This window comes from Homo sapiens, chromosome 11 (assembly GCF_000001405.40).
Source record: "Homo sapiens chromosome 11, GRCh38.p14 Primary Assembly".
Lineage (NCBI taxonomy): Eukaryota > Metazoa > Chordata > Mammalia > Primates > Hominidae > Homo > Homo sapiens.
The window spans coordinates 67,170,094-67,189,270 of NC_000011.10; the positions used below are offsets into that span (position 1 = coordinate 67,170,094).

Consider the following 19,177-nt stretch of genomic DNA (forward strand, 5'->3'; position numbering starts at 1 on the left):
ACTACAAATATAGGAAGTGAGAACACATTTTCATGGCATACACACAATAAATGTACCGAGTTCAAACACCTTGTGATAGAAAATGCTGATTAGAAATAGCAGTGTTTTCATTTCAGCCAGAATAGTTGAACAACCAGTAGTTTGTCAACGAAAAGCTAGAATTAGAAACCAGGAATGGTGGAATATTAGATAAACAATAATATAGCTAGAAATGTAGTGTCCCTTAACAAATATCAGAAATCTCTTACCCCAGGGAAGATCCTTTGCTAATCCTTTATCCTACCAAGCATGGGGTTTTTTTTTTTTCTTTCTTTCTTTTTTTTTTTTTTTTTTTTTTGAGATGGAGTCTCGCTCTGTCGCCCAGGCTGGAGTGCAGTGGCGCGATCTCAGCTCACTGCAAGCTCCGCCTCCTGGGTTCGCACCATTCTCCTGCCTGAGCCTCCCGAGTAGCTGGGACTGCAGGCACCTGCTACCACACCGGGCTAATATTTTTGTATTTTTAGTAGAAACGGGGTTTCACCATGTTAGCCAGGATGGTCTCGATCTCCTCACCCAGTGATCCGCCCGCCTCAGCCTCTGAAAGTGCTGGGATTACAGGTGTGAGCCACCGCACCTGGCCCAAGCATGGTTTTCTGACTAAAAGACATTCTTTGTTGCTGACTGGTCCCACCACTACACCTTCTCTCTCTCTGCCAGACCCATTTAAGCTGTATCTGAGGTCGTCCTTGACAATTTCTTCCGGTTACCTTAAGAGACTGGTCTGGTCGAAGTCTCAAGTGGATTTTTGTAGCATAGAGTAGTGGTTAGGACTGTCAGCTCTAGAACCAAAGTACCTGGGTTCTAGATCCTAGCCACATCAATTACTAGCTTTGTAACCTGGGCAAGTTACTTCTTTCATTTTCCTTGCTTTGGTAAAGAGGGTATTAATATCTCATAGGGATGTTGGATTTAAATATATTAATACATGCATAGTGCTTGTTACAGTACCTGGCACATGGTAGGTACTTAAACATTTAGACTCCTTTGTGCCTTTTGGAATGGGAATTGCTTAAGCTGTCCTGAAAAAATAGCCTTTAACATCTGTTTGATTGAGATTTGTGATACATAGAAGTTGAGAGGAAGATGTGGAAAGCCCTAAGAGAGCTACTTGCCAACCCCACCATCAGGTCTCCCTCAGTGTTCCTAGTCAGGACAGACGAGGCCGAGTCTGAAATTAGATAGTCTTTGAATGCAACATAAACAGACCAGAGGGACTGGTATGTAGCAAATTGTCAATATATAATGTAAATAGGAATGAAATTGAAATGATGTGAGTTGGATTCAGAGTGTAGAAGACTTTATTTTAGAACATAATGGGGCCTTAAGTTGTTTACTTCCAAGGGAAAGTTGAGATCTGAGAGGTTAAATGATTTATTAAACTGCCTATAGTTGCACAGCAAAGTAATAGAAAAAGTGACACCAGATATATTTTCCCTTTAGACACATTTGCTTTTTTGTTGTTTTTCTGCTATTACCCAAAAAGGTTAGCTTGGGTCAGCTTTACCTTTCTGTTTCTTCATGTGTAAAATAAATCCATCATTCGTCTTAATTCTCACAGTGTGATTATCTTAGGCAAGAAAAACTATTTGATACAAACTAGGTCTCAAACTCCTGGCCTCAAGTGATCCTCGTGCCTTGGCCTCCCAGAGTGCTGGGATTACAGGCATGTGCCACTGCTCCTGGTCTTGGCATGCTTACTGAAAATCAATTCACTGTAAGTGTAAGAGTTTATGCCTGCATTCTCCTTTCTGTTCCATCAATCTATATGTTTCTCCTTAAACACCAGTACCACCCAGTCTTGATTACTATATGTTTATAGTAAGTTTTGAAATTACTATAGTTTTATAGTGAGTTCTTCACTCTTCTTTTTTCTTTGGAGGCAGGATCTCACTCTGTTATTCAGGCTGAGTTCAGTGGCGTGAACATGGCTTACTGCAGCCTCAACCTCCGGGACTCAAGCCATCCTTCTACCTCAGCCTCCTGTGGAGTTGGGACTACAAGCACACACCAGCACTCCTGGCTAATATATTTTTTTTTTGTAGAGGCAGTGGCTGGTCTTGAACTCCTGGATTCAAGTGATCCTCCTAGCTTTCTTTTGTTCTCTTTAAGGATTGTTTTGACTATTCTGGTTTGCTGGTATTTCCATATGAATTTTAGGATCATCTTGCTAATTTCTGCCAAAAAGAAAAAAAGCTGTGATTTTGATAAGAATTGCTTTGAATTGGAAGATAAATTTGGGAGAGTATTGCCATCTTAATAAGGCCTTTCAGTTCATGAACACAGGACATTTTTCTATTTAGCTACCATTTAATTTCCTTCAACAATGCTTTGTAGCTTTCTGGTATATAAGTCTTGTACTTATCTTGTTAAATTTATTCCTTAGTTTTTTTTATGCTATTATAAATGGATTTTTTTTCAACTTCATCTTGGGATTTTTTGTTGCTAGTATATAGAAATAGAACTGATTTTATTAGCTCTTATAGTTGTGTGTGTGTGTGTGTGTGTGTGTGTGTGTGTGGATTCCTTATAGTTTTCTGTGTACAAGATCATGTAATTTGTGAATAGATGTAGTTTTACTTGTTCCTTTCCAAACTTTTCTTTTTCTTGCCTAATTGCCATAGCTAGAAATTTCTTGCCTAACTGCCCTAGCTAGAAACTTCAATACAGTTTTGAATAGAAGTGGGGAATAAACATATCTTTGTCTTGTTCCTAATCTTAGGGGGAGAGCTTTCAGTCTTTCACCATTAAGTATGTTTTTCTCTTTTTTTTATTTTTGAGGCAGAGCAAGACCACATCTCAAAAAAGAAAAGAAAAAAATTATGGAATATTTATAGACATAATGTGATGCACTGGTTTTTATTTTTATTTTTTTTTGAGACAAGGTCTCTCACCCTGTCACCCAGGCTGGAGTGCAGTGGTGCTGTAACAGTTCACTGCAGCTTGGACCTCTCCAGGCTTAGGAGATCCTCCCACCTCAGTTTTTTGTTTGTTTGTTTGTTTGTTTTTCTTTTGAAACAGAGTTTCTTGTTGCCCAGGCTAGAGTGCAGTGGCGCGATCTCAGCACACTGCAACCTCTGCCTCGCGGGTTCAAGCAATTCTCCTGCCTCAGCCTCCCAAGTAGCTGGGATTCCAGGCATGCGCCACCATGCGTGGCTAATTTCGTATTTTTAGTAGAGACGGGGTTTCTCCGTGTTGATCAGGCTGGTCTTGAACTCCCTACCTCAGGTGATCCGCCCGCCTTGGCCTCCCAAAGTGTGGGGATTACATGCGTGAGCCACCGTTCTTGGCCTAATTTTTGTATTTTTAGTAGAGAAGGGGTTTTGCAATATTGGCCAGGCTGGTCTCCAGCTCCTGACCTCAATGATCAGCCTGTTTTGGCCTCCCATTGTGCTGGGATTACAGGTGTGAGCCACCATGCCCAGCCAGTTTTTGTATTTTTAGAAGAGACAGGTTTTGCCATGAACCAGGCTGGTCTTGAATTCCTGGGCCAAAGTCATCTGCCCGCCCTGGCCTCCCAGAGTGCTAAGATTACAGGTGTGAGCCACTGCACTTAGCCTGGTTTTTATTTTTATTATTTTTCTTTTTATTTATTTATTTTGAGGCAAGGTCTGGCTCTGCTGCCCAGACTGGAGTGCAGTAGCCCCATCATAACTCATGGCAGCCTCAAGCTCCTGAGCTCAAACAATCCTGCTGTCCCAGTCTCCTGAGTAGTACAGGCGCACATTACCATGCTCAACTAATTTAAACAATTTTTTTTTTTTATAAGATAGGGTCTTGGTATGTTGCCCAGGCTGGTCTTGAGCTCCTGGCTTCAGAAAGTGATCCTCCTACCCCAGCCTCCCTAATTGCTGGTATTACAGGCATGAGCCACCATGCCCACTTTGGGAGGCCACGGCAGGCAAATCACCTGAAGTCAGGAGTTCGAGACCAGCCTGGTCAGCATGTCGAAACCTTGTCTCTTCTAAAAATACAAAAATTAGCTGGATGTGGTGGCATGTGCCAGTAATCCCAGCTACTTGGGAGGCTGAGGCAGGAGAATTGCTTGAACCTGGGAGACAGAGGTTGCAGTAAGCTGAGATTGCGCCACTGCACTCCAGCCTGGGCGACAGAGTAAGACTCTGTCTCAAAAAAAAGAAAGAAACCGTTTCCTAAAAACAGTCTCTCTCAGCTTATTCTAGTTTTCTGGATAACTCAGACATATTGTTACTGACTCAGTGAATATTCTCTGCTCAAAAGTTCTGATTTCCCAACTCTTACCTGCTTTTTTACTTTTTAAATGTCTGACATAGACAGTTTGAGAAAATACCCTTTCCACTATTCTATTTTCTGGCAGCTTTAGAAAAGAATGTCAGAAATTTCTATAGAATGATTAATAGATGAATACCTACTTGCATCTAGTGTTGCTTCCTCATATTTCTTCTGCTCACCACCTAGGAGAGTGATACAACTAATACTCCTGCAGTTTGACTTAACTACCAGTACTTGAGTTAATCTAAGTATTCCATTTATGTGGCCATTTTAACCACTTTATATAGTTAATTACGACTAAACTGGGAATGGTGAATATTTTTTAAGACATTTAAAATTCTTCATATTATTTGGATTCTAAATAACATGATTTTGCTATATTATTTGGTCATCTAAGTAGAATAAAGTAATTTGTTGTTGGTTATTCAGGAATACAATTCCCTGTTAACCCTGGGAAATGCAAATTGCTTTTGAGAGGAAATATGGTTGAAATGATGTCATTGTTCAGTTTATACTTGTTACTTACTGTGACACTGGGCCTAGTGAGGACTGGTACCTACAGAAAGCCAGTAACTCCCTTTAGGCTGCTAAAATCACGTATATGAAAAGCATCTAGAATAAAAGCATAGCATGCTAGTAAGCCAATTTGTATTATTTGGTAATGTTGATGGGCTAGAGGAAATCAGTAGCTGATTTCCTTACTGTTAAAGTGGCCTTACCTTTTGAGTTTCACCTATAGCAGAGATTGTGTTATTGCCTACTGATATCCAGGGTTACTGTGAGGATTGAATGTTTTTAAAGCATTTATGAGATATGTTATAGAAGCTTACTTTGACTAGGGTTTACATTAAGATAGGATACAGGAAAAACAGACATCCTTGACAGTGTTAAAATTCACACAGGCCAGGTGTGGTGGCTCACACCTGTAATCCCAGCACTTTGGGAGGCCAAGGTTGGAGGATCACTTGAGCCCAGGAGGTCAAGGGTCAAGGCTACAGTGAGCTGTGATCGTGCCACTGCACCCCAGCCTAGATGACAGAGACTCTGTCTCCGAAAAAAACCAGCACACACACACGTAATTTTCACACTGTTGCCAACTTTCCAGTTGCAATAATCAAAAAGAGATCAGGAATTCAAATTCATTTTTCTGTTGTCTTTAATAAATGGGAATGGCTTGGAGACAGAAGCCTTCCTTGTATCCTTACATTCTCCCTATTGAAGGTGTAAATGGAAGAATTTAAGGAGAAGAAAAGCATGAAAAAGATCAGGGGAACTTTTTGCCTATCATATTAGAAATGTTGGGATAATCAAGATGATTACTTTCTCCTGAGTGAAGAAGAATCCGTTATGGTAGACCTAATAAAAAGGTTGAGGTTTGAAAACATGAGGGATTTTTAAAACAAGCATATTAGAACTAAAAATGCAAGTGAGTGCTTTCTAAAAGTGATTCTGGGAAACTATACTTATTCTAGTAGCATTGCTCTTGCTTTATAATGTGCTTGGAACTCATCTTTTCTAGTTCTTCAGAGACACATATACAAAATAAGGTGAGGGAGAGAACTGGATGATGTTTTTGGGGAAAACAATGTTAGGAATTGTCAGTGAACACCCTGCCCTGCACCAAAAGATACCTAAAAATACTTTGAATGATGATGGCATTATTGGTGTCAGTGAAGTCTTATCAAAATTAAACCTTCTTTTGGCTTTTGAACTGTGATTTGTGGCAGCCAAGTTACTAGGTAAGAGAGTGTTCTAAGGCTTTTTACTAAATATGGAAAAGATACTAGATTTCCCTTTTGTGTTTTTGCCTAAAACTTGTAAGTTGAATCTTGCTTTCCTCTGGTATGTAATAGTCAAGTTTATTTCTTTCATTTTTTATGACTTATTTCTGCCCTTTCACAGACTTCTACTCCCTAAGAGACCTATCTCCAGTGTCTCATTTTCTTACGTGTTTATGTAGATTCAGGTGCTATGTAATCAATTCTAGATCATCAATACTTAGTTTTAAATTCTAGATTTGATGTTCTTAGCACAGATAAAGGTAGAGTGACTTTATCCTTACCACTACCACTGGCACATCCAGTTTCCTGTTGGGTATGTATTCAATAAATTTCAGCAAATTTTAACACTGGCTAAAGTAAAATACCATCATTCATTGCTTAACAATGGGGATATGTTCTGAGAAGTGTATAGGCAATTTCATCATTGTACTAACAATCTAGAGTGTACTTACACAAACCTGGGTGGTATAGCCTACTACGCACCTAGGTTATATGGTATATCCTATAGCTTCTAGGCTACAAATCTGTACAGCATGTTACAGTACTGAATACTATAGGCAGTTATAGCATGCCAGTAAATATTTGTGTATCTAAACATAGAAAAGGTACAGTGAAAATATGGTATAAAAGGCAAAAAAAATGGTATACCTGTATAGGGCACTTCTTGTGATGGGTTTTGCAGGACTGAAAGTTGCTCTAAGTGAGTCAGTGAGTGAATAGTGAGTAAATGCGAGGGCCTAAGACACTTTTGTAGATTTTATGAACAGTGTTTTATTTTTTAATTTATAAAATTTTTTTTTTCAATAATAAACTAGGCTGGGCACGGTGGCTCACGCCTGTAATCCCAGCACTTTGGGAGGCTGAGGTGGGCGGATCACCTGAGGTCAGGGGTTCAAGACCAGCCTGGCCAACATGGCGAAACCCTGTCTCTACAAAAATACAAAAATTAGCCGGGCATATTACTCGGGAGGCTGAGGCGAGAGAATCCCAGCTACTCGGGAGGCTGAGGCGAGAGAATCACTTGAACCCGGGAGGTGGAGGTTGCAGAGAGCCGAGATCACTCCATTGCACTCCAGCCTGGGCAACAGAGCAAGACTCCGTCTCAAAAAAATATTACTACTACTAGTAATAAAACTAAGCTTAGTCTGTAACTTTTTAACTTTATATACTTTTGAACATTTTCTAATTTTCCACTTTTGTAATAATACTTAGCTTAAAACACAGATACATTATACCACGTACAAAAGCATTTTCTTTATATCCTTATTCTATAAGCTTTTGTCTACTAAAGTTTTTTTTTTAACTTTTTAAACTTTTTTGTTAAAAACCAAGACATAAACATACACATCAGCCTGCAGAGGGTCGGGGTCATCAGTATCACAGAGCGGCATCATTATCACTGTCTTCCGCCTCCACATCTTTTCCCACTGGAAGATCTTCAGGCACAGTAACACAGATGAGCTGTCATCTCCTGTGATAACAATGCCTTCTTTTGGATACCTCCTAAGAGACCTCCCTGAGGCTGTTTTACAGTTAATATTAAGAAAAAAAAAAGTAGAAGGAATGCATGCTAAAATAATGATCAAGCACAGAATAATAAATACATAAACCGGTACACAGTCATTTATTATGTACTATTCCTAACAGTATGTGCTACACTTTTACATGACTGGCAGCACAGTTAGATTTACACAAGCATTGCCACAAACGAGAGTAATGTGTTGTGCTATGATGTCCTGATGGCAACAGTGTCACTAAGAGATAAGCATTTTTTAGTTCTACTGTAATCTCATGGGAACACTGTCATATATGTGCAGTTCATATATATTGACTGAAATGTCATTATACTGTGCATGACTGTATTAAAAGGTAAACTTGCAGTATAAGCAACATTTTGAAAGTGACTGCTTATTAGATAGAATTCTCATACCATACAGTCTCCTCATTTAAAGTGTACAAGTCAGCTGGGTATAGTGACTGAAGCCTGTAATCCCAGCAGTTTGGAAGGCTGAGGCGTGCAGATCGCTTGAGCACAGGAGTTCGAGACCAGCCTGGCCAACATGGGAAACCCCTGTCTCTACTAAAAATAAAAAAATCAGCTGGGTGTGGTGGTGTGCACTGGTGGTGTCAGCTATGGGAGGCTGTAGGTGGGAGGATCACCTGAGCCTAGGAGGTTGAGGTTGCAGTGAGCCTTAGTGGAGCCACTGCATTCCAGCCTGCGCGACAGAGCACAACCCCATCTCAGAAAATAAAAAATAAAATAAAGTGTACAATCCAGTGGTTTTTAGTATATTCACAGGGTCATACAAATACCACTATCTAATTCCAGAACATTTTCATTGCTCTTGAAAAAACCCATACTATTAACAGTCACTTCTCCCATTCTTCATTTTCTCTAGCCCCTGGCAACTATGAATCTAGTTTCTGTCTCTATGGATTTGCCTATTCTAGACATTTTATTTAAATGAAGTCATACAATATGTGGTCTTTTATGACTGGCTTTTTTTTTATTTGGCATAATGTTTTCAGAGTTTATCTATGTCATGGCACATAGCGTTATTTCATTCCTTTTTGTGGTTAAATGATATCTCATTGTATAGGTATACCACATTTTGTTAATGCATTCATCAATTGATTGACATTTGGGTGGTTTCTATCTTTTGGCTGTTGTGAATAACACTAGTGTAAACATTTGTGTATAAGCTTTTGTTTTGAAAAGAAGAACGTATGTTTTCAGTTCTTTGGGTTATATACCTAGGAGCAGAATTGTTAAGTCGTACGATAACTTTGTTTAACTTTTTGAGAAACTTTCAAACTGTTTACCAGTGTCTGCACCATTTTACATTCCCACCAGCAATGTATGAGGCTTCCAGTTGGTCTGCATTCACATCAGCACTTGTTATTGTTTATCTCTTTGATGATAGCCGTTCTGGTGGGTATAAAGTGGTATTTCATTGTGGTTTTTGGTTTGCATTTTTCTAATGACTAATGAGAATTGAGCATTTTTCATGTGCTTATTGTACATTTGTATATCTTCTTTGGAAAGACATGTTATCTTTAAAACTAAATATTGATGGTGTGCTATTTGGAATGCTGGGTTTTTTTTGTTTTGTTTTGTTTTGTTTTTTTGAGACGAAGTTTTGCTCTTGTTGCCCAGGCTGGAATGCAATGGCACGATCTTGGCTCACTGCAACCTCCACCTCCCAGGTTCAAGCGATTCTCCTGCGTCAGCCTCCTGAGTAGCTGGGATTACAGGCATGTGCCACTACGCCCAGCTTATTTTGTATTTTTAGTAGAGACATGGTTTCTCCGTGTTGGTCAGGCTGGTCTCTAATCTCGAACTCCCGACCTCAGGTGATCCGCCTGCCTCTGCTTCCCAAAGTACTGGGATTACAGGCGTGAGCCACCGCACCCGGCCTGGAATGCTGTTATTTAGATTAACTTTCTTCCTTTATCTGAGACAAGGGTTTTTGATCCATTCATTCAAATGTGTTTTTGAGATTGCTTTACCAAGCTAATTTTAAATACAGCTCTCCCTGTGAAAAAATTATATTTTGTATCCTGGCTTGAAATTTCTATGAAGACAGTTTGTGCCCACTCTGATAAACAGTGATAGACAAATGAAATATTTAGTAGACCCTCTTTGGTCCTGTTTTTATTGTGAATTTATATCTCTAGGCTCAAAGAATTAGCAAGGGTAAAATTCATAGAGGACCCAGTGGCTCATTGAAACTTCATTATATTCTGTGGATTCTGAGAATATCAGCTATCTTGAGAGAAAGAAAAGATCCATAAGGCAAGGAAAATAGCAACTGAGTTTGAAAGTAGCACTTTGCACATGTAGGGAAATCTATGACCACTTGTAGGTAGGCATGAAAAAGTGCATGATTTCATCAGTATGTTCCTTTCTTTCCTAGCGTGGTACCATGCGACGACGCTATGAAGATGATGGCATTTCAGATGATGAAATTGAAGGAAAAAGAACTTTTGACTTGGAAGAGAAACTGCACACCAACAAATATAATGCCAATTTTGTTACTTTTATGGAAGGAAAAGGTCAGTATTGTTTTGGTTCCAGCTTACAGTCCTTTGATGTGGGAAGCCATAGACTCTGAGCATTGGGGGTTTAGCCTTTATCCAGCTAAAATATTGCCTGTTGATGTTATCTATCTATTTTCTCTTGTTATACAATGCCATTTGCATGCACTTATCCCCCAGTCCTCCCACCCTGTGAGTCATTCTCTCCTATATTAGAAGTAATCTTTTTATTAGGGCAGGAGTATTGTTGGATTTTTTTGCCTAACGGCCTCTTCCTCCTTCTTCTATCCCTTGGTTTAAATTTAATTAAAAATAGTACAATAGAAATCCTTTTATGTATATATCTACCCCACCAAAACTGAGGGTGGGATTCCATGCGCACCGTGCATCTTTGATCCTTGGCAAACTGACAAGGATGTCATATATGTATTGTAGTGGTCAAAATTAATGTTTTGTTTACTTTTTTTTTTGGAGACGGAGTCTTGCTGTGTCACCCAGGGTGGAGTGCAGTGGTGCGATCTCGGCTCACTGCAACCTCCGTCTCCTAGGTTGAAGCAATTCTCCTACCTCAGCCTCCTGAGTAGCTGGGATTACAGGCACGTGCCACCACACCCGGCTAATTTTTTTTTTTTTTATACTTTTAGTAGAGACGGGGTTTCGCCATGTTGGCCAGGCTGGTCTCGAACTCCTGACCTGAGGTGATCTGCCCACCTTGGCCTCCCAAAGTGCTGGGATTACAGGTATGAGCCACCACACCTGGCCCTTTTTTTTTTTTTTTTAACTCTTCAGAGACAGGGTGATGATAATTTCTGTTTAGCATTTATAAGATGACTCACTATTAGTAGTCCTATCCCCATATTATTTAAGCTCTAAATTTCCTGTGGAAATTTAGACTTGGAATATAGACTTGGAAAACCCCTCAAGCGTTGCTTCTCAATGTGCTCTCCATATTTTCTAAGAGATGCTTCTTACTAAGCATATATTTTATTGACTAACAGCATAACTATATACACAGAATAACAAACACCATTTATACTGTATTACTTAGGATCCTTTTTATGGTCCTTTTATCGTTTTTAATTATACCACTTATCTTTCTAATATTTTCCTATGGTGACAGATTTTAATGTAGAGTATATTCAGCGGGGTGGCTTGAGAGATCCTCTGATTTTCAAGAATTCTGATGGACTCGGAATAAAGTAAGTGTTTTCAGCCTGGCTGGATGTAGTTGCAAAATGGCCTCGTTACACCCAGGGCAATAAACAGTGGTGGTATTGATAACCCAAAACAATAGTAATTGAAAATAATTTCCCACTTTGTTTTAAAAGTATATGCTTTTCTTTTGATACACAAGTGTTTCATATTAGAGGTAAATGAGAAAATATAGATGAACCAAAAAAAAAAAAACAACAAATTTAAATCTCCTGAAATCTACCACCCTTAGGTAGATCATTAACATTTTATTATGTATTCTTTTTTCCTGTGCATATGTGTAAATATATAATCACCTATATTTTTAAAATAATTTCAAACCTGATTGTGAATATTACTGTGTCTGGGGAGTACTCAGTACTTTAAGAAAAAAAACTCACATTTACTAGAGCAATTGTGTTTTCCATATATACTTACTGGTGTTTGTTTCATAGAATGCCGGATCCAGACTTCACTGTGAATGATGTCAAAATGTGTGTGGGTAAGTGTCGAGCTTTTGGCCTCTGTCTTTAAGGCAAAGATTTAAGACTTAGGACTGAATTAAATCTCTGACTGAGATTTAAGGCCTAGGAACATTGAAGTATATATTTGATTAGAAACTACATTTTCATTAGGAACTGAGAATTTTATCAAAGAGAGTTACAGAAGTTGCCTTATTTAATACACATTAAACCTAGAAAGTTGGAACCTCTTTTTCCTACCTTCATACTTCCTTCTCTCCTTGAAGAGTGTGCCTTCTAGGGCAACCTTTCCAAGAAACCGAAAACTTACATCTCTTAGCCAAGAAAGAAGTTTCATTAATATCCGTGATTCCCTTCCTTCCCCTAAAAGGAGTAGAGAAATTTCCAGGAAATGCTCGCCAGTGCTGCATTTGGAAACTTGCCTAAGACTTGAAACTTTATAGGCTGAGAAGTAGATACATTAAAATTGAGTCTTTTAATTATTTTATTATATTCAAAATTTGGGAAAAAGAAAGCAAATTAATCTAATTAAAGAAGAAAATTCCTGATGTTAGTAAAGTTTCAGCCTAGTTTTCTGCAGACAGTGGTGTTCATTGTGGTCCTGAGACACCTCAGCATCCTTAGGAGTTCAGGGATGGTCAGTAAAATTGAATAAGTCTTTTTTTTTTTTTTTTTTTTGAGACGCAGTCTCCCTCTGTCGCCCAGGCTGGAGTGCAGTGGCACAATCTCGGCTCACTGCAACCTCCGCCTGCTGCATTCGAGCAGTTCTCCCACCTCAGCCTCCCGAGTAGCTGGGATTGCAGGCATGTGCCACCAGGCCCGGCTAATTTTTGTATTTTTAGTAGAGTTGTGGTTTCACCATGTTGGCTAGGCTGGTCTTGAACTCCTGACCTCAAGCAATCCGCCTGCCTTGGCCTCCCAAAGTGCTGGGATTACAGGTGTGAGCCACTGCACCCGGCTGGAATAAAGTCTTTTTGAAATGCGTCCAATAGGACTTAAAACAAAGGGACTTTTTAAATTTTCTTCCTAGCACTAGAATTTCTATTATCTTTTGTCCTCTGTACTAAAGCTCCAGTGCCATTCCTTTGCTTTGAAAATTAAGTACTGCAGTACTATCTCCTGGCCACTTGTGGGTCCTTGTTAGACTACCGACTCTTCTGTTCATCTAAAACGTGAAAGTCACAGATATCCCAGGTAGAGGAAAGTTCCCAAATCTCTGTTTTATTCATCCCCTTACTGTTTCTGTTTTAAACCCTGGCCATCTGCCTGTTGCCATGTATTCCTTAGTACCTAGCACAGTCCCTGGAATATAGTAGGTGCTCAGTAAATCCGTTGAATAATGAAAATGCTCCCCTACTCGTCACAAGACAGAACACTCAGGGGACCTCAGAAAACCTACCTGAATATGTAATAGTCTGTAATTTGACCTCTTTTATTAAAGAGCCTCCAGGACAGTAATTCCCTGTTTAAAGCTTCCCTCTTGATGAGACATTCTTACAGATTGTGGTCCACAGATGACCTGCATCAGAATTGCTTGTGATATTGTTAAAAATATAGACTCTCAGAGAGGATTGTAGGAAGATGGCAGAGTAGCAAGCACCAGGAACTTTTCTCCTTACCTAGACAATAATTGCACGGGCAGAATCTGTCTGATACAACTATTTTGGAGTTCAGGAGTCTATTGAAGGCTTGCAAATTTCAGGGACAGCTTGGACAATAAAGTACAGTTAATTTCAGTCAGTTTCAGGCCTTAGCACAGTAACAGCTGCTCCATTCTTCCCTGCCAACCAAGCCCATGACAAGCAGCTGTGCATATGTTTCCCCGAAAAACTTGCACACAGCTTATAGGAGCCAGGGTGAGCAAAGAGGAACCTTTCCTCCAAATAATGGGATCCATGCTGTGGTCACTGAGTGCTGCTTCTGATCACAGAAGTACAGACAAAGAGGCAGGTGGGGCCAGGCACAGTGGGTCATGCCTGTAATCTTAGCACTCTGGGAGGCTGAGGCAGGTGGATTGCTTGAGTCCAGGAGTTTGAGATCAGCCTGGGCAACATAGCAAGACCCTGTCTCTACAAAAAATACAAAAATTAGCTGGGTGTGGTGGCATGCACCAATAGTCCCAGCTACGTGGGGGGCAATTCCTTGAGCCCTGGAGGCTGAGACTGCAGTGATATGTGATCACACCACTGCACTCCAGCCTGGGCAACAGAGTGAGACCCTGTCTCAAAAAAAAAAAAAAAAAAGGCAGGTGGGGCAGTTGTTGTTGCATCTTCTCCTAATTGTTGCAGGCCTCTTCCCCTCAGCTGAACTGACTTCCAGGGGATTTAAAGGGCTATTGTGGCCGGGTGCAGTGGCTCATGTCTGTAATCCCAGCACTTTGGGAGGCTGAGGCAGGAGGGTCACTTGAGGTCAGGAGTTTGAGATCAGCCTGGCCAACATGGGGAAACTCCATCTCTACTAAAAATACAAAAATTAGGCCGGGTGCGGTGGTTGACGCCTGTAATCCCAGCACTTTGGGAGGCCGAGGCGGGCATATCACGAGGTCAGGAGTTCGAGACCAGCCTGACCAACATGGTGAAACCCCGTCTTTACTAAAAATACAAAAATTAGCTGGGCGTGGTGGTGGGCGCCTGTAATCCCAGCTACTCAGGAGGCTGAGGCAGGAGAATTGCTTGAACCGGGAGGCAGAGGTTGCAGTGAGCGAAGCTTGTGCCACTGCACTCCAGCCTGGGTGACAGAGCGAGACTCATCTCAAAAAAAGGTGAGTGGAGGGTGGCTATTGCCCACACCCACCCCCATTTTAGTTTTCTCTTTTCCCCTTTAAGAGCCAGACATTAAAGACTAGCACATTCAGAATAGGAAGCGACTGCATATGCACATGGACGGTCAGGCTCAGAGAAGACGTAAGAAAACTTAAGTGTATACCTCAGATTGATCCTTGACACAGAGATAGCCTATAAAAAACAAAACAAAAACAAAACACACAATAATAAAACACAAAAAACCCTGGGGAAGGGAGAGAATTGGATTTCAAGAGTTACCACATTATTAAATTCAAATGTCCAATTTTCAACAAAAAATCATAAGGCATACGAAGAAAAAGGAAAGTATGGCCCATTCAAAGGAAAAAAATCAACAGAAAATGTCTTTGAAAAAGTCCTGATTGTGGATCTAATAGACAAAGATTTTTAAATAGCTGTCTTAAAGATGCTCAGAAAACTAAGGAATATGTGGAGGAAGTCAAGGAAGTAATGTATGAACAAAATGGAAATATCAATAAAGAGACAGAAAACCTTAAAAGGAAATTCTGGAGCTGAAAAGTACAATAATTAAAATGAAAACTTAGATTCAAAGGCAGATTTGAACAAGCAAAAGAATCAGCAAAGATAGGACAATGGAGATTATTAAGTCTAAGGAACAGAATGACAAAAATTGAAGAAAAGTGAACATAGCTTGCTATAGGTTAAATGTTATCCCTGCCAGGTGTGGTGCCTCACACCTGTAATCCCAGCACTTTGGGAGGCCAAGGCGGGTGGATCACTTGAGGTCAGGAGTTTGAGACCAGCCTGCCCAACATGAAACCCTGTCTCTACTGAAAATACAAAACTTAACTGGGCATGGTGGTGGGCCCCTGTAATCCCAGCTACTTGGGAGGGCTCAGGTAGGAGAATTTATTGAACCCGGGAGGTGGAGGTTGCAGTGAGACAAGGTCACACCATTGACTCCCTTGCACTCTAGCCTTGGTGACGAGCGAAACTCTGTCGCAAAAAAAAAAAAAAAGTTATCCCTTCCAAAATTTATGTTGAAATTGAATTGCCATTGTGACAGTATTAAGCAGTGGGATCTTTAAGAGATAATTAGGCTACAGGGACTCCACTCTCATGGGTGGGATTGGTGCTGTTATAAAAGCATGAGTTCGGCCCCTTCGTGCTTTCTCTCATTCTCTTACTGTCTCGCTTTTCACCATGTGATGATGCAGCAAAAAGGCCCTCACCAGATGCTGGCGCCTTGATTTTAGACTTCCCAGCCTCCAGAACTGTGAGCGAATAAATTTCTGTTCATCATAAATTACCTACTCAGGTTTTCTGTCAACAGCAACACAAAATGGACTAAGAGCCTAAAGGAACATTTTGACACCACTAAGCAGACCAACATACACATTATAGAAGTACCAGAAGGAAAATAGAAAGGAGCAGAGAGAATATATATTTGATCAAATAATGGCTGAAAATTTCCCAAATTTGATGAAAGACAGGAGTATAAACATCCAAACAGCTCAATGAACTCCAAGTAAGATGAACTCAGAGACCCTCACCAAGACACATTATAATCAAACTTTCAAAAGCCAAAGACAAACTCTTGAAAGCATCAAGAGAGAAATGACTAAATGATTCATTACATAAAGGTATCCTCAGTAAAATTATGAACGAATTTCTCATCAGAAACTTTGGAGGCCAGGAGGCAGTGAGCCAGTGTATTCAAAGTGCTAAAAGGAAAACAAAACAAAACTGTCAACCAAGCATCCTATATCTGGCAAAACTGTCCTTCAAAAGGGGCGAGAGATTAAGACATTCTCAGAAAAACAAAAGCTAAGGAAACTTGTTACCACTGGACCTGCCTTGTAAGAAATGCTCAGGAGAGTCTGCAAGGTGAAATGAAAGGACATTAGATTGTAACTTGAAGCCATATGAAGAAATATCTCGATAAAGGTAAATACATGGGTAATTGTAAGAGCTAGTATTATCTTAACAATGGCTTTTAACTCCTTTTTGTTTTCTCCATAGTTTAAGAGACGAGCATATTTTTTAAAAGACAGTTGTTAGCCTAAAATCTAATACTGAAACTTTGAGTGTAGCCCCACATTTTATTTTGTACATAATTTGAGAGATCAATACATTTAAAATAATTAGTAGAACGGGGTATAGTGGTATATGCCTGTAATCCCAGCTACTCAGTAGGCTGAGGTGGGAGGATTGCTTGAACCCAGGAATTCAAGACCAGCCTGGGCAACATAGCAAAGACCCATTTCTTCCACCCCATGAATGAATGAATGAGTTATTAATTTAAGTTTAAGGGCAAAAGCTAATAACTAATAGGGGCACAGTATATAAGGATGTGGTTTTGTGACATCAGTAACCAAAAGGGGTAGAGACAGAGCTGTAAAGGAGCAGATTCTTTGAATAGTAGTGAAGTCAAACTGGTATTAATTAAAAATAGAATTTAACTTCAGGATATTAGATGTAATCCCTATGATAACCATAAAGACAAGATCTATAGTATATATACAGAAGGAAATGAGAAAGGAATTTACACATTTCACCAAATAAATGTATCTAAGTACAAAAGAAAACAGTAATTTAGGAAAATGAGGAACAAAGCTATAAGGATATAGAAGTCAAATACCAAAATGACAGAAGTATGTTCCTCCTTACAAGTACTTTAAATATAAGTGGATTAAATTCCCCAATCAAAAGACAAGAAATTGGCAGAATGGATAAAAATGGCATGACACAACTATATGCTGTCCACAAGAGACTCACTAAAGATCCAAAAGACAGAAATAGATTGAAAGTGAAAGGATGGAAAAAGCTATTCCATGCAAACAGTAACCAAAAGAGCAGGGGTAGCTATACTTATATCAGATAAAACAGACATTTATTAATTTATTTAATTGATTTTATTTATTTATTTATTTATTTATTTATTTATTTATTTATTTTGAGATGACGTCTTGCTCTGTTGCCAAGGCTGGTGTGCAGTGGTGCAGTCTCGACTCACTGCAACCTCTGTCTCCTGGTTCAAGCGATTCTCCTGCCTCAGCCTCCCAAGTAGCTGGATTTACAGGTGCCCGCCACCACGCCCGGCTAAATTTTGTATTTTTAGTAGAGACGGGGTTTTGCCATGTTGGCCAGGCTGGTCACAAACTCCCAGCCTCAAGCGATCTGCCCACCTGGGCCTTCCAAGGTGCTGGGGATTATAGGCGTGAGCCATGGCACCGGGCCCTAAAACAGACCTTAAATCAAAGAATGGTTCCAAGAGGGGCCTGGTATGGTGCCTCACACCTAAAATCCCAGCACTTTGGGAGGCTGAGGCAGGACTGCTTGAAGCCAGGAATTCAGAGACCAGCCTGGGCAACATACCAAGACCTCATGTCTATAAAAAAAATAATAATAGTAATTTTAAAAGTTGGCTGGGCATGGTGTTGCATGCCTGTGCTCCTAGCCACTTGGAAGGCTTGAGCCCAGGAGTTTGAGGCTGTTCTGATCACACCACTGTAGTCCAGCCTGGGTGACAGAGCCAAGACCCTGTGTCTTGAAAGAAAGAGGCTGGGCGCAGTGACTCACGCTTGTAATCCCAGCACTTGCCTTGGGAGGCCGAGGCAGGCAGATCACAAGGTCAGGAGATCGAGACCATCCTGGCTAACACGGTGAAACCCCGTCTCTACTAAAAATACAAAATATTAGCCGGGTGTGGTGGCAGGCGCCTGTAGTCCCAGCGACTCGGGAGGCTGAGGCAGGAGAATGGCGTGAACCCGGGAGGTAGAGCTTGCACTGAGCTGAGATCGCGCCACTGCACTCCAGCCTGGGCGACAGAGCAAGACTCTGTCTCAAAAAAAAAAAAAAAGAAAGAAAAAATGGTTGGGCATGGTGCCTCACACGTCTGTAATCCCAACTTTGGGAGGCCAAGGCGGGAAGATTGCTTAAGCCCAGGAGTTTGAGACTACCCTGGGTAACGTGGTGAGACCTCGTCTCTACCAAAAAAATAAAAATAATCCAAGCATGGTGGCACATGCCTGTAGTCTAAGCTACTCAGGAAGCTGAGGTGGGAGTGTCACTTGAGCCTGGCAGGTCAAAGCTGCAGTGACCTGAGATTGTGCCACTTCACTCCAGCCTGGGTGACAGAGCAAGACACTGTCTCAAAAAAAAAAAAAAAAAAAATGTTTCAAGAGGCAAAGACATATATTAATTAAAGGTTTAACTATAGCAAGAAGATATAACAATTACAAACATTTATGTACCTAACGACAGACCATCAGTATACCCAAAGGAAAACCTGACAGAACTGAAGGGAGAAGTAGACATTTCTATACAGTAATACCTGGAGACTTCAGTACCCCCTCTCAATAATGGATAGAACAACCAGACAGAAAATAAGTAAGGAAATAGTGGACTTAACACAGTAAACCAACTAGATCTCACAGACACAGACAGAATCCTACCTAACAGCAATAGCATACACATTCTTTTCAAGTGTATGTAGGACATTTTCCAGGATACACCATATGTTAGGCTACAGATTAAATATCAGTGGATTTAAAAAATAGATATCAAAGTATCTTCTCCAACCACAATGGGATGAAGTTAAAAATCAATAACAGGTAAAACTGGAAAGGTCACA

The 19,177-nt window shown here is 40.3% G+C and overlaps 1 protein-coding gene across 6 annotated transcripts in view; it reads left to right on the top strand.

The window, feature by feature from the left end:
* The window catches only part of KDM2A (lysine demethylase 2A), a 138,820-nt gene that overhangs the window by 50,831 nt on the left and 68,812 nt on the right, over positions 1-19,177 (top strand). For 3 of the 6 annotated variants that reach the window (NR_027473.2, NM_012308.3, XM_017017391.2), the window contains exons 3-5: positions 9,986-10,124; positions 11,227-11,305; positions 11,753-11,799. Coding sequence is in view for 5 of the 6 variants with exons in the window: in NM_012308.3 (NP_036440.1) it covers positions 9,986-10,124; positions 11,227-11,305; positions 11,753-11,799 (265 nt within the window). In the remaining variant the exon portion in view is untranslated. Of the gene's footprint in view, positions 1-9,299; positions 9,324-9,985; positions 10,125-11,226; positions 11,306-11,752; positions 11,800-15,874; positions 16,489-19,177 lie in introns of those variants that run through there. The other 3 variants (XM_017017392.2, XM_047426623.1, XM_006718480.4) reach the window with 3 other exon arrangements.